General features: G+C 41.1%; 1 protein-coding gene and 1 pseudogene across 1 annotated transcript in view; both read right to left on the reverse strand.

Moving 5' to 3' along the window:
* Positions 1 to 26,365, reverse strand: part of SEPTIN14 (septin 14) — a 69,213-nt gene that overhangs the window by 14,158 nt on the left and 28,690 nt on the right. The window contains exon 7 of the mRNA NM_207366.3: positions 11,430 to 11,526. Coding sequence (NP_997249.2) covers positions 11,430 to 11,526 — 97 coding nt within the window. The remainder of the gene's footprint in view (positions 1 to 11,429; positions 11,527 to 26,365) is intronic.
* On the reverse strand, positions 3,087 to 3,764 carry LOC100420540 (cell division cycle associated 8 pseudogene; annotated as a pseudogene).

Consider the following 26,365-nt stretch of genomic DNA (forward strand, 5'->3'; position numbering starts at 1 on the left):
ATTTCCATTTATATATCATATTTAGGAGACACCGTTAGTCAATATTCAAAATCAATCAACAAATTCACATAGCTGTTTTAATGATACATACAGACTGACAGTGAAGACACGGAAAGATATTTCATGCAATTAGAAACTAAAAGAGAAGGCACGGAAAGCTATACTCCTATCACAGAAGATAGACTTTAAGTCAAAAACTGTAAAATGATATAAAGAAGGTCATCATATCATGATGAAGAGGTCAGTTCATTAAAAAAATAACAATTGTAAATATATATGCACCCAATATCACAACTTCTAAATATATAAGGCAAATATTAGCAGACCTGAGGGGGAGATAGACTGTATTACAATAATAGTAAGGGACTTAGATACCCTACTTTCAGCAATGGATAGATTATCCAGACAGAATATCAGTAAGAAAATATCAGATTTAAACTACACTTTAGACCAAATAGACCTAATGGACATATGTGGAATATTTCATCCAACAGCAAAGTAATACCCATTTTTCTCAAACAAACACAAGACATTCTTCAGGATAGATCATATGTTAGGCCACAAAATAAGTCTTAACATATTTTAAAAGACTGAAATAAAAATGTGAGTGCACATGTCTTTTGACAGATCAATTTCATTCCACTAGGGTACATACCCAGTAGTGGTACTGCTGGATCATACAGTAATACTATTTTTAGTTTTTGAGGAACCTTCATATTATTTCCCAAAATGGCTGTACCAACTTAAATTCCCACCAATGATGTTTAAGAATTCCCTTTTTTCTTAGAAATATATATACACTGCTGGTGGGAATATAAATTAGTTCAGCCATTGTGAAAAGTAGTTTGATAATTTCTTTTTTTCTTTTTTTGAGACAGAGTTTCGCTTTTGTCACCCAGGCTGGAGTGCAGCAGTGCGACCTCAGCTCACTGCAACCTCCGCCTCCTGGGTTCAAGTGATTCTCCAACCTCAGCCTCTCAAGTAGCTGGGATTACAGAAGTCCACCACCAGGCCCAGCTAATTTTTGTATTTTTAGTAAAGATGGAGTTTCACCATGTTGACCAAGATGGTTTCGAACTCCTGACCTCAGGTGATCCACTCTCCTCAGCCTCCCAAAGTGCTGGGATTACAGGCATGAGCCACCACGCTCGGCCTGACAATTTCTTAAAGAAGTTAAAACAGAACTACCATTTGACCCAGTAATCCCATTACCAGGTTTATATCCAAAGGAATATATATTGTTCTATCATAAAGACACAGGCACGTGTATGTTCATTGCAGCACTATTCACAATAACAAAGACATAGAATCAATCTAAATGCCCATCAATGGTAGACTGGATAGAGAAAATGAACATATACACTATGGAATACTACACAGCCATAAAAAAAGAACAAGATCGTGTCCTTTGCAGCAACATGAATGGAGCTGAAGCCATTATCCTAAGTGATGTAATGCAGGAACAGAAAACCAAATACCACATACTCTCATTTATAAGTAGGAGATAAATATTGAGAACACATAGACACAAAGGGGAGAACAACAGACACTGGGGCCTCCTTGAGGGTGGAGGGTGGGAGGAGAGTGAGGACAGAAAAGCTACTATGCTTACTTTTTTTTTTTTTTTTTTTTTTGGTTAGTATATGTGCTGCTAAAGTGAGCAATTTTTTTTTTTTGAGATGGAATCTCGCTCTGTTGCTGAGGCTGGAGTGCAATGGCACGATCTCGGCTCACTGCAACCTGCACTTCCTGGGTTCAAGTGATTCTCCTGCTTCAGCCTCTTAAGTAGCTGGGATTACAGGAGCGCGCCACCACACCTGGCTAATTTTTGTATTTTTTAGTAGAGACGGGGTTTTGCCATGTTGGTCAGGCTAGTCTTGAACTCCTGAACTCAGGTGATCCACGTGCCTCAGCCTGCCAAAGTGCTGGGATTACAGACTCAAGCCACTGCTCCAGCCAGTACTATGCTAATTATCTCTGTGATGAAATAATCTTTTACACCAAACCCCCATGACATGCAATTTATCTATATAACAAATTTGCACATGTACCCCTGAACCTAAAATAAAAATTAAAAAAAAAAAAAAAAGAATTCTCTCTTCTCCATATGCTTGCCAGCACTTGTAATGGCTTGTCTTTTTTTTTTTTTTTTTGAGACAGAGTCTCACTCTGTTGCCCAGGCTGGAGTGCAGTGGCGCAATCTCGGCTCACTGCAAGCTCTGCCTCCTGGGTTCACGCCATTCTCCTGCCCCAGCCTCCCAAGTAGCTGGGACTACAGGCGCCCGTCACTACGCCAGGCTGATTTTGTGTATTTTTAGTAGAGACAGGGTTTCACCGCGTTAGCCAGGATGGTCTCCATCTCCTGACCTCGTGATCCACCTGCCTCAGCCTCCCAAAGTGCTGGGATTACAGGTGTGAGCCACTGCGCCCGGCCTGTCTTTTTGATAATAGTCATTCTAAAAGACATGAAGTGATACTTCATCATGTGTTTAATTCGCATTTTCCTGATGTTTTAGAGATGCTATTTTTTTCATATTTCTTTTGCCATTTGTATTTCTTCTTTTGAGAAATGCCTGTTCAGATCCTTTGCCCATTTTTCCTTGTGTTATTTGTTTTCTTGCTATTGAGTTGTTAGAGTAATATCAAAAATATTATATATTTTGGACATTTGCCCCTTATCAGATGTATAAGTTGCAAATATTTTTTCCAATCTCTAGGTTGTATCTTTATGCTATTAAATTGTTTCTTTTGGTTTTGTTGCTGGTGTTTTTGAAGTTCTTTTTTTTTTTTTTTTTGAGGCAGAGTCTTGCTCTGTCACCCAGGCTGGAGTTCAATGGCACGATCTTGGCTCACTGCAACCTCTGCCTCCCGGGTTTAAGCAATTCTCCTGCCTCAGCCTCCCTCCCGAGTAGCTGGGATTACTGGCACCCACCAACATGCCCAGCTAATTTTTGTATTTTTAGTAGAGACAGGGTTTCACCATGTTGGTCAGGCTGGTCTGAAACTCCTGACCTCAGGTGATCACCCGCCTCAGCCTCCCAAAGTGCTGGGATTACAGGTGTGAGTCACTGCACCCTGCCAGCTTTTGTTATAAATCCGCTCTCCTGTGGCAGGAGTGCACAGACCAGGGATCATGAAGACCCTCGAGTCAAACCTGGGTGTCAGGCCTGGAGTTGGCTTCACTATGGACACATCCAATAAGCCCAAAACTAGGGTAACAGTGATAGCACAGCTTGACCTTTCCCTTCTGCCTTTTCCTTGTACAGACTGAGTTCTGTTCTTGGATGCAGGACATCTTTTGACTGTTGCAATTTGAAGATTCTTATGTTTATTTTCTTCTTCTTCCTCTTCCACTATCATTTCATCTACTTGTATCACCTTTCGTGTTTCAGCAGATGTCAGGGGTGTTTGAATAGCTCCCGCGGTGATATCCAGGTCAGCTGTTGCTGCCTCTTCCAAGCCCTGTTTGTTTCCTCCAAGGGAGAAGTAGTTGAGCCATTCATGCCATTCATCTTTGCGCAGTGCCTTGGGGAGCCGCAGGATCTGGATGTTGTAGAGTTTATCCACCTCCTTGAAGAGGTTCTGCCTGTCAGACTCAATTGGCTTGATTCGTATTTCCACTTTGCAGTCGAAGTCTTTAAGAAAGGAGGCGAGCTTCCACCTCCCTAAGGAGTTGGTCTTGGCCACCCAACTACTGCCCTTTCTAGGAGCCATGGTGTTGGGTGGAGGCTGCAGGGAGCGATGGAGATGGGGAAGGAAGGCAAACTCTTCTCCAATTTTAAATCAAGTTTTACAGTTCTTTTTTTTTTTTTTTTTTTTTTTGAGATGGAGTCTTGCTCTGTTGCCCAGGCTGGAGTGTAGTGGTGTGATCTCAGCTCACTGCAACCTCCGCCTCCCAGGTTCAAGTGATTCTCCTGCCTCAGCCCCCCAGGTAGCTGAGACTATAGGCATGCACCACCACGCCTGGTTTTTCTGTTTTTTAGTAGAGAAGGGGTTTCACCATGTTGGCCAGGCTGGTCTTGAACTCCTGACTTCAGGTGATCTGCCCACCTCAGCCTCCTAAAGCACTGGGATTACAGGTGTGAGCCACCGCACCCAGCATTTTTTTTTTTTTGAGACAGAGTCTCGCTCTGTCACTCAGGCTGGAGTGCAGTGGTGCAATCTCGGCTCACTGCCACCTCCGCCTCCCAGGTTCAAGTGATTCTCCTGCCTCAGCCTCCTGAGAAGCTGGGATTACAGGCGCCCGCCACCACACATGGCTAAGTTTTTGCATTTTTAGTAGAAATGGGGTTTTGCCATGTGGGCCACGCTGGTCTCAAGCTCCTGGCCTCAAGTGATCCACCCGCCTCAGCCTCCCAAAGTGCTGGGATTACAGGCATGAGCCACCGTGTCTGGCCAAGTTTTACAGTTCTTAGTGTGCAGGTATTTTACTTCCTTGTTTAGATTTATTCCTAAGCATTTTATTTTTCAGCATTATTCACAATAGCTAAGATATGGAAGCAATCTAATCTAAATGCCCATCAACAAGATACACAATAAAATACTATAGAGCTTTTAAAAAGAATGAAATCCTGTCATGTGTAAAACCTGAATGAAACTGTAGGACATTATGCTAAGAGAAATAAACCAGGCACAGAAGGACAAATACTGCATAATCTCACTTATATGTGGTAACTAAAAATGTCAATCTCACAGAAATAGAGAGTAGACAGGTGGTGACTGGAGGAAAGTGGGGAGACTGAGGGATGAGGAAATGGAAAATATTGATCAAACGGTACGAAGTTTTAGTTAGACTGGAGGAATAAGCTTCAGTGATCTACGGCACTGTATGGTGACTACAGTTAATAATAAGCTACTGTATATTTCAAAATTGCTAAAATGGGGAGTGGGGTGGAGCAAGGTAGCTGAATAGAACCTCTCATCAGTCATCCCCCTACATAAACACCAAATTGAACAAATATCCATGCAAGAAAACACCTTCATAAGGATGAAAAATCAGGTGAGCAATCATAGTACCTGATTTTAATATTATATCAAGAAAAGAGGCACTGACGATTATAGTAAAGAGAGTCTTGCATAGCCTATGCCATCTGACATTCATCCCCCAGCAGCACCATACTAAACAGAGAGAGAATCTGTGTGTTTTGGGGAGGGAGAGTGAAGTGATTGTGGGACTTTGCATTGGAACTCAGTGACTGCCCTGCCACAGTGCTACACAACATAGGGCAGAATTCTGCTAGTGCCCACGACAGGAGCCTTTTTTTTTTTTTTAGATGGAGTCTCGCTCTTTCACGCAGGCTGGAGTGCAGTGGCGCAATCTCGGCTTACTGCAACCTCCACTTCGCAGGTTCAAGTGATTCTCCGGCCTCAGCCTCCCAAGTAGCTGGGACTACAGCTGCACACCACTATGCCCAGCTAATTTTTGTATTTTTAGTAGAGACAGGGTTTCACCATATTGGTCAGGCTGGTCTTGAACTCCTGACCTCAGGTGATCCACCCGCCTTGGCCTCCTAAAGTGCTGGGACTATAGGTGTAAGCCACCACTCCTGGCCAAAGGGAGCATTTAACCTAGCTCCCACTAAAGAGGAATACCCCATGCCAGAGATAGATAGGAACTTAAGTTCCAGCTACCTCCACCACTAGTTAATTAAAGTGCCCTGGGGTCCTGAATAAATCTGAAAGGCAATCAGGCCCCAAGGTCTGCAGTCCTTGGGCAAGTCCAGTTACTGAGCTTGCTCAGAGCCAGTGGAATAGGAATGCGTGTGACCCAGCAAGACACCAGTTTTGGTGGCCAAGGAGTGCTTGTATCACACCTCCCCCAACTCCAGGCAGTGCAGCCCGAAAAGAGACTCCTTCCACTTGTGGGAAAGAAAAGGAAGATTAGAAGAGAACTTTATCTTACAACTTGAGTAGCAGCTCAGCCACAGTAAAACACACAAGAGAGTCCTTCCACTTGTGGGAAAGAAAAGGAAGATTAGAAGAGAACTTTATCTTACAACTTGAGTAGCAGCTCAGCCACAGTAAAACACACCACTAAGCCCATTCCTGAAGCCCCCAATTCCAGGCCCTACTTCCTGGACATTTCTAGACCTACTCTGGGACAGAAGGGAACTTGCTGCACTGAAGAGATGGACCCAGCCCAGCAGGACTCACCACCTGCTGACTAAAGAGCCCTTGGGCCTTAAACATCAGTAGTAGCAAGGCAGTAGTTGCCATGGGCCTTGGGCAGGACCCAGTAATTTGCTGGTTTCATATGTGACCCAGCACAGTACCAGCTGTGATGGCCACAGGAGTGATGATGTCACCCTTCCCTCAACTCCAAGCAACCTAGCACAGACAGAGAGACTCCTTCTGTTTGGGAGAAAGTGAGAAAAGAGTTTGAGAGATTCTGCCTCATAATCCAGGGAATTCTCCCAGATATTATCCAAGACCACTGAGGCAGTACGAGTCTGCTGGCGTCACAGTGTTACTGGGCTTGGGGTACCACCTAATACATTCCCTTTGAATACTTAGAAAACCTTCTCAAATAGAATAGGCACAATTGAGCCCAGACTGCAAAGATTACAATAAATATCTAACTCTTCAATGCCCAGACATAGATGAACATTGACAAGCATCAAGACCATCCCAGAAAACATGACCTCACCAAATGAACCAAATGAGGCACTAATGACAAATCCCAATCACATATCTCAGGACAGATATATGTAACCTTTCAGAGATCTCAAAATAGCTGTTTTAAAAGAGCTCAGTGAAATTCAAGATAACACAGAGAAGAAATTCAGAATTCTATTAGCATTATTATATGCCAACAGTGAACAATCTGAAAAAGAAATAAAAACTAATCCAATTTATGACAGCTATAAAATAAAATACCTAGAAATAAACATAACCAAAGAAATGAAAAATCTCTACAATGAAAACTATAAAATACTGATGAAAGAAATTGAAAAGAATGCAAAACAATGGAAACACAGTTCATGTTCATGGATTGGAAGAATCAATAATATTGTTAAAATGTTCATACTGCTCAAAGCAATCTAAAGATTCAATGCGATCCCTATCAAAATACCAATGACATTCTTCATAGAAAAAGAAAAAGCAATTCTAAGATGTATATGGAACCACAAAAATACTTAAAGCAATTCTGGGCAAAAATAACACTGGAGGAATCGCATTACCTGACTTCGAATTATACTACAAAGCTATAGTAAGTGAAACAGCATGGTACCGGCATAAAAACAGACACAAAGACCAATGGAACAGAATAGCGAACCCAGAAATAAATCCACACAGCCACAGAGAACTCATTTTCAACAAAGGTGCCAAGCACATACATTGGGGAAAGGATAAGCGCTTCAATAAATGGTGTTGTGAAAACTGGATATCCATTTGCAGAAGAAAGAAACTAGACTTTTATCTCTCAACACATATAAAAATCAAATCAAAATGGATTAAAGACTTAAATCTAAGACCTCAAATTATGAAACGACTACAAAAAACATTGGGGAAGCTCTTTAGGACATTTAGTGAGTAATACCCCACAAGCACAGGCAACCAAAGCAAAAATAGACAAATGGGATCACCTCAAGTTAAAAAGCTTCTGCAAAACAAACGAAACAACAAAGTGAAGAAACAATACACACAATGAGAAAATATTTGCAAACTATTTATCTGACAAAAGATTAATAGCCAGAATATATTTAAGAAGCTCAAACAACTCAATAGGAAAAAAATCTAATAATTTAATTTAAAGTGGGCAAAAGATCCGAATAGACATTTCTCCAAAGAAGACATACAAATGTCTTCTTTTGTCTTATTGATAATAACTGTTTTAACATGTGTGAAGTAACTGCTCATTGTGGGTTTTTTTAAATGCCAAACAAGCAAATGAAAAGGTGCTCAATATCACTGATTACCAGAGAAAGGCAAATAAAAACTACAATGAGATATAATCTCACCCCAGTTAAAAAAGCTTTTATCCAAAAGACAGGCAATAACAAATGCTGGTGAGGATGTGGAGAAAAAGGAATCCTTGTACACTGTTGATAGGAATGTCAATCAGTACAGTATCTATGGAAAACAGTATGGAGTTTCCTCAAAAAACTAAAAATAGAACTACCATATGATCCAGCAATCCCACTAGTAGGTGTATACCCAGAAGAAAGGAAAGTAGTATATCAAAGAGATAGCTCCACTCCCATGTTTGTTACAGCACTATTCACAATAGTCAAGATTTGGAAGCAACCTAAGTATCCATCATCAGAGGAATGAATAAAGTAAATGTGGTACATATACATGATGGAGTACTATTCAGCCATAAAAAATAATGAGATCCTGTCATTTGCAACAACATGGATGGAACTGAGGACATTCTGTTAAGTGAAATAAGCAAGACACAGGAAGACAAACTTCACATATTCTCACTCATTTGTGGAGCTAAAAATTAAAACAATTGAACCCATGGGGATAAAGAGTGGAATGTTGATTACCAGAAGCTAGGAAAGGATTGGGGAGGGAGAGAAGTGGGGATAGTTGATGGGTACGAATATATAGTTACATAGAATGAATAAGATCTAGTATTTGATAGCACAAAAGGGTGACTACAGTCAACAATAATTTATTGTACATTTTAGAATAACTAAAAGAGTATAGTTGGATTGTTTGTGACACAAAGAAAGGATAAATGCTTGAGTTGATGGGTACTCTATCCTGATGTGATTACTACACACTGAATGCCAGTATCAAATATCTCATGTGCCCTATAAATATACACACCTACTAGGTATCCACAAAAATTAAAAATTAAAAAACACAGGCCCAGTGTGGTGGCTCATGCCTGTAATCCTAGCATTTTGGGAGGCTGAGGCAGGCAGATCACCTGAGGTCAGGAGTTTGAGACTATCCTGACCAACAAGCCAAAACCCTGTCTCTACTAAAAATACAAAAAAAAAAAAAAATTACCCAGGCTTGGTGGCGCATGCCTGTAATCCCAGCTACTGAGGAAGGAGAATTGCTTGAACCCAGGAGGCAAAGGTTGCAGTGAGCCAAGATCACACCATTGCACTCCAGCCTGGGCAACAAGAGCTAAACTCCATCTCAAAAAAAAAATTAAAAACACAACAAGCTGTAACTTCACCCATGCTAAAATGGCTATTATCAATAAGACAAACAAGTGCTGGTAAGGATGTGGAAAAAAGGGAACCCTTGTACACTGTTGGTGGCAATGTAAATTAGGATAACCATTATGAAAAACGGTATGGAGTTTCTTCAAAAAATTAAAAATAAAACAACTACCATATGATCCAGCCATCTCACTACTGGATACATTACCTCCCAAAAATGAAGTCAGTATGTCAGAGAGATACTTACACTACCATTATTCACAAGAACCAAGATATGGAAGCAATCTAAGTGTCCATGAATAGATGCATGAAGAAAAAAAGTGTGGCATATATACGCAATGGAATTCAGCCTTAAAAATCAGGAAATTCTATCATTTGCAGCAACATGGATGGAACTGGATGACTTTACACTAAGTGAATACGCCAAACACAGAAAGACAAATGGTAAATGATCTCACTAATAGATCAAATTTTTAAAAGTTAAACTTGTAGAAACAGAGAGTAGAATGGTGGTTACGTGAGTTAGGTAGAGGGTATGTAGGAGAGATGTTGGTCAAAGGATACAAAATTTTAGTTAGGTAAGAACAAGTTAAAGAGATCTATTGTACAACATAGTGACCATGTTAATAACAATATTTTATATATATATATATATTTTTTTTTTTTGAAAAGGAGTCTCGCTCTGTTGCCCAGCTGGAGTGCAGTGGCGTGATCTCAGCTCACTGCAAGCTCCACCTCCCGGGTTCACATCATTCTCCTGCCTCAGCCTCCCAAGTAGCTGGGACTACAGGTGCCCGCCACCATGCCTGGCTAATTTTTTTGTATTTTTAGTAGAGATTGGGTTTCACTGTGTTAGCCAGGCTGGTCTCAATCTCCTGACCTCATGATCCGCCCGCTTCAGCCTCCCAAAGTGCTGGGATTACAGGCGTGAGCCACTGCGCCCGGCCAATATTTTATATTCTTGAAAATTGCTAAGATAGATGTTAAGTTTTCATCACAAAAATAATTGAGATAACACATATGTTAATTATATCAATTTAGCCATCCCACAATGTATATGTATTTCAAAACATCATGTTGTACATAAGTACATAAAATTTTATTTGTCAATTAAGATTAATTAATGAAAAATAATTTGTATGGCTCTCTCCTGTGTTTGTCATGTCCAGAAGATTGACCACAATATATGGTTTATTGTGATTAATACTGTGACCAAATTTTATGTATCAACATATAGTATAGATATATATTTTATAACATATACTAACATGTAATACAACATAATAAATATTAAAACATTAAGTTTTAAGTATGCTTAACAAATTTTAAATTTTCTAATATGTCAATTTTTTAACAACATCATTTGAGGCTGGACACGGTGGCTCATGCCTGTAATCCCAGCACTTTGGGAGGCCGAGGCAGGTGGATCACCGGAGGTCAGGAGTTCAAGATCAGCCTCACTAATATGGTGAAACCCCATCTCTACTAAAAATACAAAAATTAGCCCGGTGTGGCGGCAAGCGCATGTAATCCCAGCTACTCGGAAGGCTTAGGCAGGAGAATAGCTGGAACCTGGGAGACAGAGGTTGCAGTGAGCCAAGATCATGCCACTGCACTCCAGCCTGGGCAACACGAGTGAAACTCTGTCTCAAAAAAAAAAAAAAAAAAAAAATCATTTGGAAACCAGTACAAGTAGAAATCTTCCATTCCCCAATAATTATATGAACCACAAGTATATGAACCAGACAATAAATTACTGCTTACTACACTATTCTAACTCATTATGATGCTAAATAATAATATAAATGTCAAAGGTATAATCTCTAGCCAAAGGTAAATTGTACTTTCTTGTTTTAAAAAGTTTATAACTCTTTTTTCTAGTGACCAGTTTAAAATGGTTTCTACATTAGGTAGTAATGAGTTTATGTAACATGTCTACACACTAGTATTTTTGCTTCCATTTTGTTGAAAGTGCTTTCCAGCACTCTCAGTGTCATGATTTATACAGAGAGATAATATGTACATGGCACATTGGGAGCGTTGGGATAGACAAAGAGGTTCTTCCCAGCCTCTGTAGATTTTGGCTTAAAGCAGCGTTCAGCAAACTTCTATGAGAATGAATCATAGTCAAAGTAAGCATTAGTTTAAATAAAACAGAGTTTGTGTTCCCCATTAGTAACTGTTAACTTACAGATTAGCAAGAGTTACCAATATTAGTTCAAGTTAAAATGTTATTTTGAGACTATGAGTGATACACATATATTTAACTTAATCATTCCAAAGCCTGCCCTCTGTCATTTTTACCTTGCAAAACTCCCCAAGGGTAGTGACGGCCTCTGACCATCCTTTTTCCAACTTTCACTTCATCTGTACTCCCTACCACAGCAAAGGGTAACAGCCCCTAGAAAACAAGAATGACATGAATTGAATTCTCTAGCACCATTAGAGCTTACTCTATTACTCTCATTCCTGTTATAAAAATGACAGGCCAGCGCGGTGGCTCATGCCTGTAATCCCAGCACTTTGGGAGGCCGAGGTGGGCGGATCATGAGGTCAGGAGATCGAGACCATCCTGGCTATCATGGCGGAACCCCATCTCTACTAAATATACAAAAAATTAGCCGGGCATGGTGGCGGGCGCCTGTAGTCCCAGCTACTCGGGAGGCTGAGGCAGGAGAATGGCGTGAACCCGGAAGGTGGAGCTTGCAGTGAGCCGAGATCATACCACTGCACCCCAGCCTGGGCAACAGAGCAAGACTCCGCCACACACACACAAAAATGACAGAGATGATGATATTGTAATAAATTTAATTAGACAGGGATCTACCCTGCATCTCATTTTAAGACTTGACAGTATGCACTAATTGGTTTCTGTCAGCATAAGTCTCAGGCTGTGCACACAATTGGAAACTGTCTACTGAGCCAGAGCCTAAAGCAAGGTATCCTGCTGTGGGAAACACATAGAAAAAAGATTTTCAGTAGGCATCATTTTTCTCACACTATGTTTACCCTGAACCATCTTTAACCTGAATGTTGAAGAAATAACATGCAAATAACTTTTAACTCTGGTATAAAAGTTAAAAGACAAAAATATTAAAAACAACTACAACTATTATAATAATTAATGGATACACAATATAAAATACTTTAATAAGCAATACTGTATATGTCTCAATAAATTATGTTTGTTTTTTTGAGACAGAGCCTGGCTCTGTCACCCAGGCTGTAGTGCAGTGGCATGATTTTGGCTCACTGCAACCTCCACCTTCCAGGTTCAAGCAATTCTCCTGCCTCAGCCTCCCGAGTAGCTGGGATTACAGGTGCCTGCCACCATGCCTGGCTAATTTTTGTATTGTTTAGTAGAGACGGAGTTTCACCATGTTGGCCACGCTGGTCTTGAACTCCTGACCTCAGGTGTTCTGTCCACCTCAGCCTCCCAAAGTGCTGAGATTACGGGCGTGAGCCACCACGCCCATCCCAAATAATTTTTTACATTTTACATTACTTAGCATTTCAATTCAGAAATCTATTAGTGTTTGAGGTATCTTAAAATAAAGGAGGTGTAAATTATAAGAAAAGAGAAATGGAAGACATGGAATTAACAGTTATCAGTTACAGTTACCTGTTACATTCTAGACTCTGTGTTTCAGATCCTTCACAAAGATTTTGGCACTTACACCTCAGAAAAAAAGCCTTAATAGAAGTGTCATTGATCCCATAGCATAGATAACAGTCTCAGGGAAGATGAGTGAATTGTGCAGGATCTTTTGGCTTTTAAGTAGAGAAGCTAGGATGGAAATCTAAATCTGTATACTTTCAAAATGTATCATCTTTCGGCTGGGCATGGTGGCTCATGCCTATAATCCTAGCACTTTGGGAGGCCGAGGTGGGCGGATCACCTGAGGTCAGGAGTTCGAGACCAGCCTTGCCAACATGGTAAAACCCCGTCTCTACTAAAAATACAGAAATTAGCGGGGCATGGTGGCAGGCACATGTAATCCCAGCTACTTGGGAGGCTGAGGCAGGAGAATTGCTTGAATCCAGGAGGTGGAGGTTGCAGTGAGCTGAGATCGCGCCATTACATCTCGGTCTGAGAAACAAGAGTGAGACTCTGTCTCAAAAGAAAAAAAGAAAAGAAAATTATCATCTTTCAAATTTAAGCTAATATTTTAGGTATTTACTAGCCTAAAATATTTACACAGATAAAGAGTTTCATCATCTTTATTACTGCCCTGATTCCAGAACCAGAGACAACACAGCATTCGCATCCAACCCCCATCTACCTGTTTTTGAGGCTAAGTCCTTGGCAAGTCTATTTGAGAGTTGGAGGCTCCCTTTTACCACTCAAGACCTACTTGTGAAATAGGGGCCCTGCCTTGGATGCAGCAAACAGAGAAGATGGGGGCCCTGACCATCCTTGCCTGGTTCATGAGGCAGTGGCTCATTGTGTGGGGAAGTAATCCAAAGAACCTCAGACTGGTGCTCCTCCTCACTGAGCTCTCAGTTACCAGTGGGTGCCTGAAGCTTCAGGGCAGGGTGGGTAACCTGCCATTGTTTCCACCCACAATTCCAGAACCCTGCCTCAGAGATTTTACCTTGGAGGAGAAACAGGCCATGAAATGGAGAAAACCCATTCAAAAAATTATATGTAATCCCAAGGGACCTGAATAGCCAAAAAAATATTGAAAAGAAAGACCAAAGTTAGAGGTCTCACACTTCTAGAATTCAAAACATATTACAAAGCTACAGTAATCAAAATAGTTTGGAAGTAGCATAAAGACAGACATGTAGACCAATGGAATCAAATACAGAGTCCAGGGTTAATCCCTCCTTACCTATTCTTCTGTTGATGGATATTTGGGTTGCTTCCATCTCTCAGCTACTGTGGATAATAATGCAATTTATATGGCTTTACAAATATCTAAGTAAGACCCTGCTTTCAATTCTTTCAGAGAAAGAGGATTGTTAGATCATATGGTAATTTTATTTTCAACTTTGGAGAAACCACCTATATTAGTCTGTTTTAACGCTACTGATAAAAGATATACCCAAGACTGGGAAGAAAAAGAGGCTTAATTGGACTTACAGTTCCACATGGCAGGGGAGGCCTTAGAAGCATGGTGGGAAGTGAAAGGCACTTCCTACATGGCAGCGGCAAGAGAAAATTAGGAAGAAGCAAAAGCAGAAACCCCTGATAAACCTGTCAGATCTCGTGAGACTTATTCACTATCACAAGAATAGCACAGGAAAGACCAGCCCCCATAATTCAATTACCTTCCCCTGGGTCCCTCCCGAAACATGTGGGAATTCTGGGAGATATGATTCAAGTTGAGATTTGGGTGGAGACACAGCCAAACCATATAACCACCATACTGTTTTTCATAGTGGTTCTAGATGAGAAAAAGATAAAACTCTATTGAAAAAATCAGGGACTATCTAAATAAATGGAGAGACATTCCATGTACATGGATAGAAAGACTCAATATTGTCAAGATGTCAATGTTCCATAACTTAACCTATGTATTCACCACAACCCCAATCAAAATTTCACCAAATTATTTTGTGAATAATAACAAATTAACTCCAAAATTTATATGAAAAGGCAAAAGAACTAGAATAGCCAATGCAATATTGAAGAAGAACAAAATTGGAAGACATACTATTCAACCTCAGGATTCACTGCAAAGCCATAGTAATCAAAACAGCGTGGCATGGGCAAAATAATAGACAAACAGATCAATAGAGCAGAGCAGAGAGCCCAGAAATATGCCTACACAAATAAAGTTAACTAATATTTGACAAAGAAGCAATGGGAATTTAATGGAGACAAGATATTCTTTTCAATAAACAGTGCTGGAACTGAATACTCACATGTAAAAATAAGAATCTACAAACAGACCTTACATATTTCACAAAATTAACTCAAATTGGATCATAGGCCTAAATGTAAAGCATAAAACAATAAAATTCCTAGAAGATAATGTAGAGTCCTAATTAGAGAAAGGGAGTCAGGCTGGTGGGAGCAGGGGAAAGCAAAAAAAAAAAAAAAAAAAATCAGATAAGCTACAAGTCTGCCTTTCTTCACCATCCAGAACACACGGCCCTCCTGCACAAATAACTCACAATCTTCCTGTGCCTAGCTATCAGCAGACCCTCGGCTGATACAAAAAATTGCAAGTTAGCTCACTGCCACTGATAGTGGCAGGAGGCGGACAAATGCCTAGGCAGATAGGGGCAAGTCCCCAGGGAAACCCCACTTCCAACCCAAGGATAGTTTAAAGCCTGAAAGCCAAGTTACAAGTCAAATCCATGGACTGGATTGAGAACCTGTCTTCCTGCTTGGTGCACTTTCCTCTGGCTGATCTCCACCCTTCACCTGTTTTACATATACCTACACTTCCTAATTGTTTTTTTCACATTGTTGTGCCCACCTTTGGGTGGTGCCTTTGTTTTAACCTTTTTGCATACTCACAAACCAATCAGCATGCACTCGCCTATTCTGAGCCCATAAAAGCCCTGGGCTTAGCCACACAAGGAGAGAAACAGCCCCCAGGTCCCCTCTCCACTGAGAGCTGTTCCATCACTCAATAAAATTCTTCTGTCTTCCTCATCCTTCAATTGTCAGGGTATCCTCATTCTTCTTGGTTGTGGGACAAGAGCTCATGAACTGCTGATCTCAGATAGAAGCTTTAACACAGGCAGGCTGGGGCATGCTGGCCCAGCCACAGGCTGAGCCACTGTGCAAGCCAGAATGGGCCAAATGGATGGGGCTACCTGTGTGGCAGGTAGCGCGCCCAAGCAAGGCCCAGGTGGGGGTGTCACTGGCTGGAGGTCCCTGGCTGGCAAAATGATTGAGAGGAATCCTGCATCACAACCTTGGCATTATCAGCACTACACAAAGCCCTCTTCAGCATACAGCCTAAGAACTAGCCTATAAAATCTGCAGCAATCCTTTGTTTGTTTGCAGTCAGCTTCTTTCTTGCAAGCTGCCTGTTGCCTCCCTAGCAATGTATTTTCCTACTTTCTGTAATAAATCTACCTTCCTTACCTACAGCAAGGTAAATTCTTTTTTTTTTTTTTTTGAGAGAGAGAGTGTCTCACTCTGTCACCCAGGCTGGAGTGCAGTGGTGCAATCCTGGCTCACTGCAACCTCTGCCTCAACAAGGTAAATTCTTTTATGCCTGCACCACCAGGCCAGATAGTCATCACTCCCTTGCAACAGATAACATAAAAGGAAATGCAGGTGACTTTGAATTTAGCAATGACTTCATCGATATAACACTGAAAACATCATTGATGAATGGAAAGAATCAATGAGTTGAACTTCATTAAAACTAAAACTTCTGCTAGCAAAAGACACTGTTAAAGATAACAAGATAAGCCACCGACTGAGAGAAAATCTTTGCAAAACACACACTTGATAAAGGACTGATGTCCAAAATATACAAAGAACTCTTAAAACCCAACAAAAAAATGAACAACTCAATTAAAAATGGGCACAAGATCCAAATAGCCACCTCAACAAAAAAGATATTCAGATAACAAATTAGCATGTAAAAAAGATGATCAACATCATACATCCTCAGGGAATTGCAAATTAAAAGAAAAATACATGGTACTACACATTTATTAAATTTCCACCCACTGAATCTAAAATAAAACTCAGTAATTTTTTTTAGGCCAAGCACAGTGGCTCACATCTGTAATCCCAGCACTTTGGAAGGCTGAGGTAGGCGGATCACCTGAGGTCAGGAGTTCAAGACTAGCCTGGCCAACATGGTGAAACCCCATCTCTACTAAAAATACAAAAAAAAAAAATAGCCAGGCGTGGTGGTGCATGCCTGTAATCCCAGATACTTGGGAGGCTGAGGCAGGAGAATCGCTTGAACCCAGGAGGTGGAGGTTGCAGTGAGCCAAGATCACGCCACTGCACTCCAGCCTGGGTGACAAGAATGAGACTCCATCTCAAAAAAACAAACAAACAATTTTTTTTTTTAATTTCCAAAATCCCAAACACTGACAACACCAAATCCTGGCAAAGATACAGAGCAGCAGGAACTATCACTCATTGCCAGTGGGAATGCAAAATGGCAGTAACCACATCGTAAGACTGGTAGTTTCTTTCGAAACTAAACGTACTTTTACCATATGATCAAGAAGTGCACTCATCAGTATTTATCCAAATAAGTTGAAAACTTGCGTCCATACAAAAGCCTGCACACAAATGTTTATAGCAACTTTACTCATAATTGCTAAAACTTGAAAGCATCCAAGATGTCCTTTAATCAGTGAGTGGATAAACAAACTGTGGCATACCTAAACATGAAATATTATTTAATAATGAGAAATCAGCTATCAAGCCACAAAAAAAGACACAGAGAAACCTTAAATACATATTTCTAAGTGGATGAAGCCAATCCAAAAGTTCTACATGAACTATAATTCCAACTATGTGATATTCCCAAAATAAAAAATTACGGAGAGTAAAAAGATCAATAGTTGCCAAGGGTAAAGGGAAAAGAGGGAGACAAATGAATAGGTCAAGTACAGGTGATATTTAGGGCAGTGAAACTATGGTGAATGTTACTGCAGTATGGGATAGAGGTCATTAGACATTTGTTGAAACCCATACAATGTTCAACACAAACAATGAAGACTGTTGTCAGATACGAACTTTAGTTTATAACTTACCAATATTGCCTCATCAAGTGTAACAAATGCACCACACTTAATGCAGGATGTTAATAATAGAAGAAAATCAAGGGAGGGCATTAAGATCTCTGTTCTTTCCACTCAATTTTTCTACAACCATAAAACTACTAAAAAAACATAAAAGTATTTTACATTTAAAAAGAAGGATGGGGCCGGGCGTGGTGACTCACACCTGTAATCCCAGCACTTTGGGAGGCCGAGGCGGTTGGATCATTTGAGGTCAGGAGTTTGAGACCAGCTTGGCCACCGTAGTGAGACCCCCACCTCTACTAAAAATACAAAAATTGGCCGGGCATGGTGGCTCACTCCTGTAATCCCAGCACTTTGGGAGGCCGAGGCGGGTGGATCACGAGGTCAGGAGATCGAGACCATCCTGGCTAACACAGTGAAACCCCATCTCTAATCAAAATACAAAAAATTAGCTGGGCGTGGTGGCAGGCGCCTGTAGTCCCAGCTACTCAGGAGGCTGAGGCAGGAGAATGGCGTGAACCCGGGAGGCGGAGCTTGCAGTGAGCCGAGATCGAGCCACTGCACTCCAGCCTGGCGACAGAGTGAGACTCCGTCTCAAAAAAAAAAAAAAGTCACAATTATTTATCATATTTATTACCTCAAATAATTATTATTTTCTTTGCTTTTTGGGGGGTGAGAACATGTAGATCTACTCTTTTACCAAATTTCAAGTATACAATGTTGTATATTGTTAACTATATTCACACTGCCATACATTAGATTTTCAGAACTTACTGATTTTGCAAACTGAATCTTTGCATACCCTGACCTATATCACAAAGAGAATTTTGAAAGCAGCAAGAGAAAAACATCTTGTCCCATATAAGGGAGGCTGCGTAAGACTATCAATGGATTTCTCAAAAGAATCTTGCAGATCAAGAAACAGTGGGATGATTCAATGTACTGGAAGAAAGAGAAAGACCAAAAGGAATACTTTACCCCAGAAAAGCTGTCCTTTAAGAATAAAGGATGGGCTGGGCCAGGTGGCTCACGCCTGTAATCCCAGCACTTTGGGAGGCTGAGGCAGGCAGATCACCTGAGGTCAGGAGTTCAAGACCAGCCTGGCCAACATGGCAAAACCCTGTCTCTACTAAAAATACAAAAATTAGCCAATGTGATATAGGGTGCCTGTAATCCCAGCTACTCAGGAGGCTGAGGCAGGAGAATTGCTTGAACCCAGGAGGTAGAGGTTGCAGTGAGCCGAGGCCATGCCATTGTACTCCAGCCTGGGCAACAAGAGTAAAACACTGTCCCAGAAAAAAAAAAAAAAAAGAATAAAGAACAATGCTGCCATCTGATCTTTTCAGCTGTGGCCTGGCACCCTTCTGAGAGCCCGGCTCCCAGATACTTGCAGTCTGCCCTGGCACTGCTGTCACTTTAGCATTCTGCAGTTGCCTGAGCATTCTTCCTGCCCCTGCCTAAGTTTTCTGCCAGCTGTGTGGGGGCCAGCCTGCCCCTCTCTATCACAGCCAGCACCTGAACCCTGGGTACCTGAGGACACATATGCCAGCCTGCTTCTGATCCAGTCCCTCCAGTACTTATGCATGCCATCCAGAGCACCATATAGGGATCTGAGAATCAAGAAAATGGCTAGCCCAGTACACCATTGGCACATGATCGCTCTCTCTGGAGACTAAGGCTGTGCTGACCCAGCTAGCCAACACTGCAACAGCTGAAATCCACCCTCATGTGCTGAAAGGTGAAGCTGCTTCCCCTTTGTACACAAAGGAGCAGCGTTCCTGCATGAGAGAACAGGCAAGCCACAGGGCTGTCTGTATTGGCCTGAGGGAAGAGGTCCTACCCTGAGGTTGCTCCTGTGAAGAGCCACAAGACAGGCATTTTCAATGGCTCTTGGCTACGTTATGACCTAGAGATAGATGACTGGGTCTGTATGAACTGAGAGTCATGAACTCTGGGACAGGGGTAGGATAGGGAAACACATCATGTTCCTACCTACACAGGAGGTAGAGCTGGTACAGCTCCTCCCTCCCTACAGAGACCTGTGAGCATTTCACCAGGAGCTGCACCAGCCACCCTCTAAAGGCTACTGTTCACGTTCATCATTGAGATGTTGGTGGGTAAGCTTTGTGGTCCAGCTCTGCCCAGCTGTGTCTTCCCCTCTGGGCTGAACAGGCAACTCAGAGTCTAGGCATTACATAGACCAGCCTATCACCTGAAACAACAGACAGGAAATCACAGTAAACAAAGATCAAACACACACCATCTGCTTCTGCCATAGCTGGCTCTTACTCATAAGTGCCACTTACTGGCATGGAGGTTAAACTACACAAATCAATAAAAAGTCTACTGACAGAAGGGCACAGGGCTAAAGAAACAAAGCCAAAGCCCCCTACCCAATATATGCTGTAGTTACACCCACAAGGAGGAAAAACCCCATCTAAATTAAAGTAAATTCAAAAATAAGAAGTGACAACTTTCCCAGATGAGAAGAAACCATCATAAGAAGTTTGGCATCATGAAGAAAAAAAAAAAAGCAGAATGTTTTGACACTACCAAAGGACACACTAGCTCTCTCGCAATGGATCCTAACCAAAATGAAAATTCTGAAATGAAAGATAATGAATTCAAAATATGGATTATAAGGAAGTTCAATGAGATCCAAGACAAAGCTGAAAATCAACACAAAGATACCAGAACAATGCAGAATGTGAATGAAGTACAGATATCTTAAAAAAAAAACAATTGAATTTCTAGAAATGAAAAACACACTGAAGGGTTGGGTTACAGATGAAAGCTTTTTTTTTTTTTTTTTCTTTTTGAGACAGAGTCTTGCTCTGTCGCCCAGGCTGCAGTGCAGTGGCGCCATCTCAGCTCACTGCAAGCTCCACCTCCCGGGTTCACACCATTCTCCTGCCTCAGCCTCCTGAGTAGCTGGGACTACAGGCACCCACTACCACGCCCGGCTAATTTTTTGTATTTTTAGTAGAGGTGGGGTTTCACCGTGTTAGCCAGGATGGTCTCGATCTCCTGACCTCGTGATCCGCCCATCTCGGCCTCCCAAAGTGCTGGGATTACAGGCGTGAGCCACTGCACCCGGCCAGATGAAAGCTTTAACAATAGGCTAGACTAAGCAGAAGACAGACAGAAAATAGGATCCCAGTGCCTTTTGGCTTGTAAACTTTCTTCTGAGAAGTCGGCTGTTAGTCTAATGTGATTTCCTTTATAGGTGATTTGAAAATTGTCTCTTGCTTCTTTCAGAGTATTTTCCTTCAAGTTGCCTTTGGATAGTCTGGTGAAGTTCATCTTGCAAAATATTTTCAGGTATTTTCCGAGCTTCTCGTATCTGGATGTGTACCTCTCTAGCAAGGCCAAGACAATTTTTCTGATTATTCCCTCAAATATGTTTCCAATCTTTTTACCTTTTCCTCTTCTCTCTCAGAAATGCCTACAACTCATAAGTTTGGTTGCTTTACATAATTTCCGATTTATTGAACTCTTGATTATTTATTTAAATTTACTTTTTTTTTTGTCTGTGTTAGTTCAAAAAACCTGTTTTGTTTTTTGAAAAGATAAGAAAATTGATATGGTGCTAGGCCGGGCACGGTGGCTCACGCCTATAATCCTAGCACTTTGGGAGGCCAAGACAGGTGGATTGCCTGAGCTCAGGAGTTCCAGATCAGCCTGGGCAAGATGGTGAAACCCCGTATCTACTAAAATACAAAAAATCAGCTGTGCATGGTGGCAGGTGCTTGTAATCTCAGCTACTCAGGAGGCTGAGGCATGAGAATTGCTTGAACCTGGGAGGCAGAGGTTGCAGTGAGCCAAGATCGTGCCACTGAACCCCAGCCTGGACAACAAAGCAAAACTCTGTCTCAAAAAAAAAAAAGAAAGAAAGAAAAGAAAGAAAATTGATATGGTGCTAGCTAGATTAACCAAGAAAAAAGACAGAAGATTCAAGTAAGCACAAGCACAATCAGAAGTGATAAAAGTGACATTACAACTGATACCACAGAAAACAAAAGATCATCAGAGACTAATATGAATATCTCTATGCATACAAACTAGAAAACCTAGATAAAATGGTTAAATTCATCCCTCCCTGCTCGGATGTGGCTGGAGCTGGAGGTGCAGAGGGCCAGAGATGCTGCAGACCTTCCACCCAGAGCAGCTTGGAGGCAGTGAATAACAGCTCTTCAAGTCTGCAACAAAAAATGGCCTCTTCCAGAGAATTGTTTGAACCTGGGAGGCAGAGGTTGCAGTGAGCCGAGATAGCGCCACTGTGCTCCAGCCTGGGTGACAGAACGAGACTCCATCTCAAAAAAAAAAAAAAAAAAAAAAAAGCCTCTTCATAGCTTAAATTACAAAAGTAAACTAAAAGACTTACATGCTTTTGGCCAGGCGCGGTGGCTCACGCCTGTAATCCCAGCACTTTGGGAGGCCGAGGCGGGCGGATCACGAGGTCAGGAGATCGAGACTATCCTGGCTAACACGGTGAAACCCCGTCTCTACTGAAAATACAAAAAATTAGCCGGGCGTGGTGGCGGGCGCCTATAGTCCCAGCTACTCAGGAGGCTGAGGCAGGAGAATGGCGTGAACCCGGGAGGCGGAGCTTGCAGTGAGCAGAGATCGCACCGCTGCACTCCAGCCTGGGCGACAGAGCGAGACTCTGTCTCAAAAAAAAAAAAAGGACTTGCATGTTTTTTTCTTTACTCCAACTCATTCCTTACATGTAGGCTCAATCTTTTCAGTATTTGCTTTACTGGTTCAGCAAAAGCCAGGAAATACAACTTTGTGGTAATCAGAATGTTATCCAACTGTATATATATATATATATATATATATATATTTTTTTTTTTTTTTGAGACGGAGTCTCGCTCTGTCTACCAGGCTGGAGTGCAGTGGCGCGATCTCCGCTCACTGCAAGCTCCGCCTCTCGGGTTCACGCCATTCTGCCTCAGCCTCCCGAGTTGCTGGGACTGGAGGCGCCTGCCACCACACCTGGCTAATTTTTTGTATTTTTAGTACAGAAGGGGTTTCATGGTGTTGGCCAGGATAGTCTCGATTTCCTGACCTCATGATCCGCCCGCCTTGGCCTCCCAAAGTGCTGAGATTACAGGGGTGAGCCACCACGCCAGGCCCCAACTGTATATTGTTTACCTTATTGTAAATATTGGTGAACAGTGGTCAATAATAGTTTTATATTCCTTTAAAAAAAAAGAAAATGGGTAAATACCTGGAAACATACAACCTCCTAAGACTAAACCAGGAAAAAATAGATATCCTAAATAGACCAATAACAAGTAATGAAATTGACTCACTAATAAAATAATTTCAAACAAATAAAAACAAGAACAGATAGGTTTACAGCCAAATTTTGCCACAAGTATAATGAAGAGCTGGTACCAGTCTTACTGAAACTATTCCAAAAATTTATGGAATTTTTGGATTGGAAGAATCAACATCATTACAAAGACCACACTAACTAAAGCAATGTACAAATTAAATGCAATTCCTATCAAATTACCAATATCATTTTTTCACAGAATTAGAAAAAACGATCCTAAATATCATATGGAACCAAAAAAGCATTCAAATAGCCAAAGTACTCCTAAGCAAAAAGAACTAAGTCAGAGGCATCATGTGTCTGACTTCAAATTATACTATAATGCTATACTAAAAAAAACAGTATGGCATTGGTACAAAAACAGACAGATTAATGGAATGGAATAAAGAGTCCATTGCTAGGAAGGATACAGCTTAAAAAGGGAGAAAAAAATTGTGAAAGAAAAGAGAATAAAGAACCAGTAATAAAATCACATGCCTACAACCAAGTGATGTTTGACAAAGTTGGCAAAAATAAACAGTGGGGAAAGAGCATTCTATTCAATAAATGGTGCTGGGAAAATTGGCTACCCATAGGCAAAAGAATGAAACTGAATTCCCATTTCTCATCATATACAAACTTTAACTCAAGACGTATTAATGACTTAAATGAAAGACCAGAAGCTATAAAAATCCTAGAAGAAAATTTAGGAAAAACTCTTCTAGATATTGGCCTAGGAAAATAATTCATAACTTAGACCTGAAAAGGAAATGCAACAAAACCAAATATACACAAATGAGACTTAAACTAAAGAGCACAGCAAAAGAAATAATCAACAGAGTAAACAGACAACCTACACAATAAGAACAAAATATTTGCAAACTTTGCATCTGACAAAGAACTAATATCCAGAATCTAAAAAGAACACAAACAACTCAACAACAACAAAGAATAAACAACCTCATTAAAAAAGACTGCAAAGGATATGAACAGACATTTCTCAAAAGAAGACATACAAGTGGCCACCAAACACATGAAAAATTGCTCAACATCACCAATCATCAGAGAAATGCAAATTAAAACCACAATAAAGGCAGGGCGCAGTGGCTCACACCTGTAATCCCAGCACTTTGGGAGGCCAAGGCGGGTGGATCACCTGAGGTCAGGAGTTCAAGACCAGCCTGACCAATATGGTTAAACCCCATCTCTACCAAAAATACAAAAATTAGCTGGGCATGGTGGCAGGCACCTGTAATCCCAGCTACTCGGAGGCTGAGGCAGGGGAATCTCTTGAACCCAGGAGGCAGAGGTTGCAGTGAGATGAGATCATACCACTGAACTCCAGCCTGAGTGACAGGGCGAGACTCTGTCTCAAACACACACACACACACACACACACACACACACACACACACACAAAATAAGATATAAACACAACAGATGTTGGTGTGAATGCAGAGAATAATGAATGCTTATTCACTGTTGGTGGGACCATAACAACCTCTATGAAAAACAGCATAGAGATTTCTCGAAGCACTAAAAATAGAGCTACCATTTGGCCCAGTGATTATACTACTAGGCATCTGAAAGAAAAGAAATAATTATATAAAAAAGTCACTTTCACTCATGTGTATTACATTCCTACTCATAATAGTAAAGTCATGGAATTAACCTAAATGTCCATTAACAGTGGACTGGATTTATTTTAATATGGTATATATACACCATGGAATACTATGCAGCCATAAAAATGAAATCATGCTCTGTGCAGTAACATGGATGGAGCTGGGGGCCATTATCCTAAGTGAAATAACTCAGAAACAGAAAATCAAATACCACATGTTCTCATAAGCAGGAGCTAAACAATGAGTACACAAGGACATAAAAATGGAAACAATAGATAGTGAGACTCCAAAAGGGAGAGACTGGGAGGAGGCCGATGGTCAAAATATTATCTATTGGTAGTGAGATGTGATCACGCCACTGCACACCAGCCAGGGCAACAGAGTGAGATCATGTCTCAAAAAAAAAATGATCTGTTGGGTACAATATTTACTATTTCAGGATAGTTACACTAGAAGCCAAACCTCACCATTATGCAATATATCTATTTGACAAATATGCACTTATACCCTCTGAATCTAAAATAAAAAACAAAGGAATTCTATAGTAGTAAACACCTACATCTTTTTTTAAAAAAAGATCTCGCCTGTGTGGTGGCTCACGCCTGTAATCCCAGCACTTTGTGAGGCCGAGGCAGGCAGATTGCCCAAGGTCAGGAGTTCGAGAAAGCCTGGCTAACATGGTGAAACCCCATCCTACTAAAAATACAAACAAATTAGCCGGATGTGGTGGCGCACGCCTGTAGTCCCAGCTACTCGGGAGGCTGAGGGAGGAGAATCACTTGAACCTGGGAGGCAGAGGTTGCAGTGAGCTGAGATTGCGCCACTGCACTCCAGCCTGGGCAACAGAGAGAGACTCCGTCTCAAAAAAAAAAGATCTCAAATAAACAACCTAACTTTACACACACACAAACACACACACACAAATAGCAGAAGGAAAGAAATAACAAAGATTAGAGCATAAATAAATGAAATAGAGAATAAAAAAAATTTTAATCGGCCAGGCACGGTGGCTCACACCTGTAATCCCAGCAGATCTCTTGAGGCCAGGAGTTTGAGACCAGCCTGGCCAACATGGTGAAACCCTGTCTGTACTAAAAACACAAAAATTAGCCAAGTGTGGTGGCATGCTCCTGTAATCCCAGCTACTTGGGAGGCTGAGGCAGGAGAATCACTTGAAGCCGGGAGATAGATCTTACAGTGAGCCGAGATTGTGCCACTGCACTCCAGCTTGGGCAACAGAGTGAGACTCTGTCTCAAAAAAGAAAACAAAACAAAAAATTAATCAATGAAGCTAAGAGTTGATTTGGGGAAAAAAACTCAAAATCAAAGCCCTTACTTAGACTAAGAACAAAAAGAGAGAATATGTTAATAAAATAAGAAATGAAAGAGAAGACATTACAACTTATTACAGAAGTTTATTTCTTACAGAAATAAACAGAATTATAAGGGACTACTATGAACAATTATACACCAACCAACTTGACAACTTAGAAGAAATGGTGAAATTACTAGAAACATATAAACTACCAAGATGGAATGAAGAATAAATAGAGAGCTTAAAGAGACCAATAACAAATAGAGAAACTAAAGAAGTAATTTTTCAAAACTCC

Source organism: Homo sapiens, chromosome 7 (genome assembly GCF_000001405.40).
Source record: "Homo sapiens chromosome 7, GRCh38.p14 Primary Assembly".
Taxonomy (NCBI): Eukaryota; Metazoa; Chordata; class Mammalia; order Primates; family Hominidae; genus Homo; species Homo sapiens.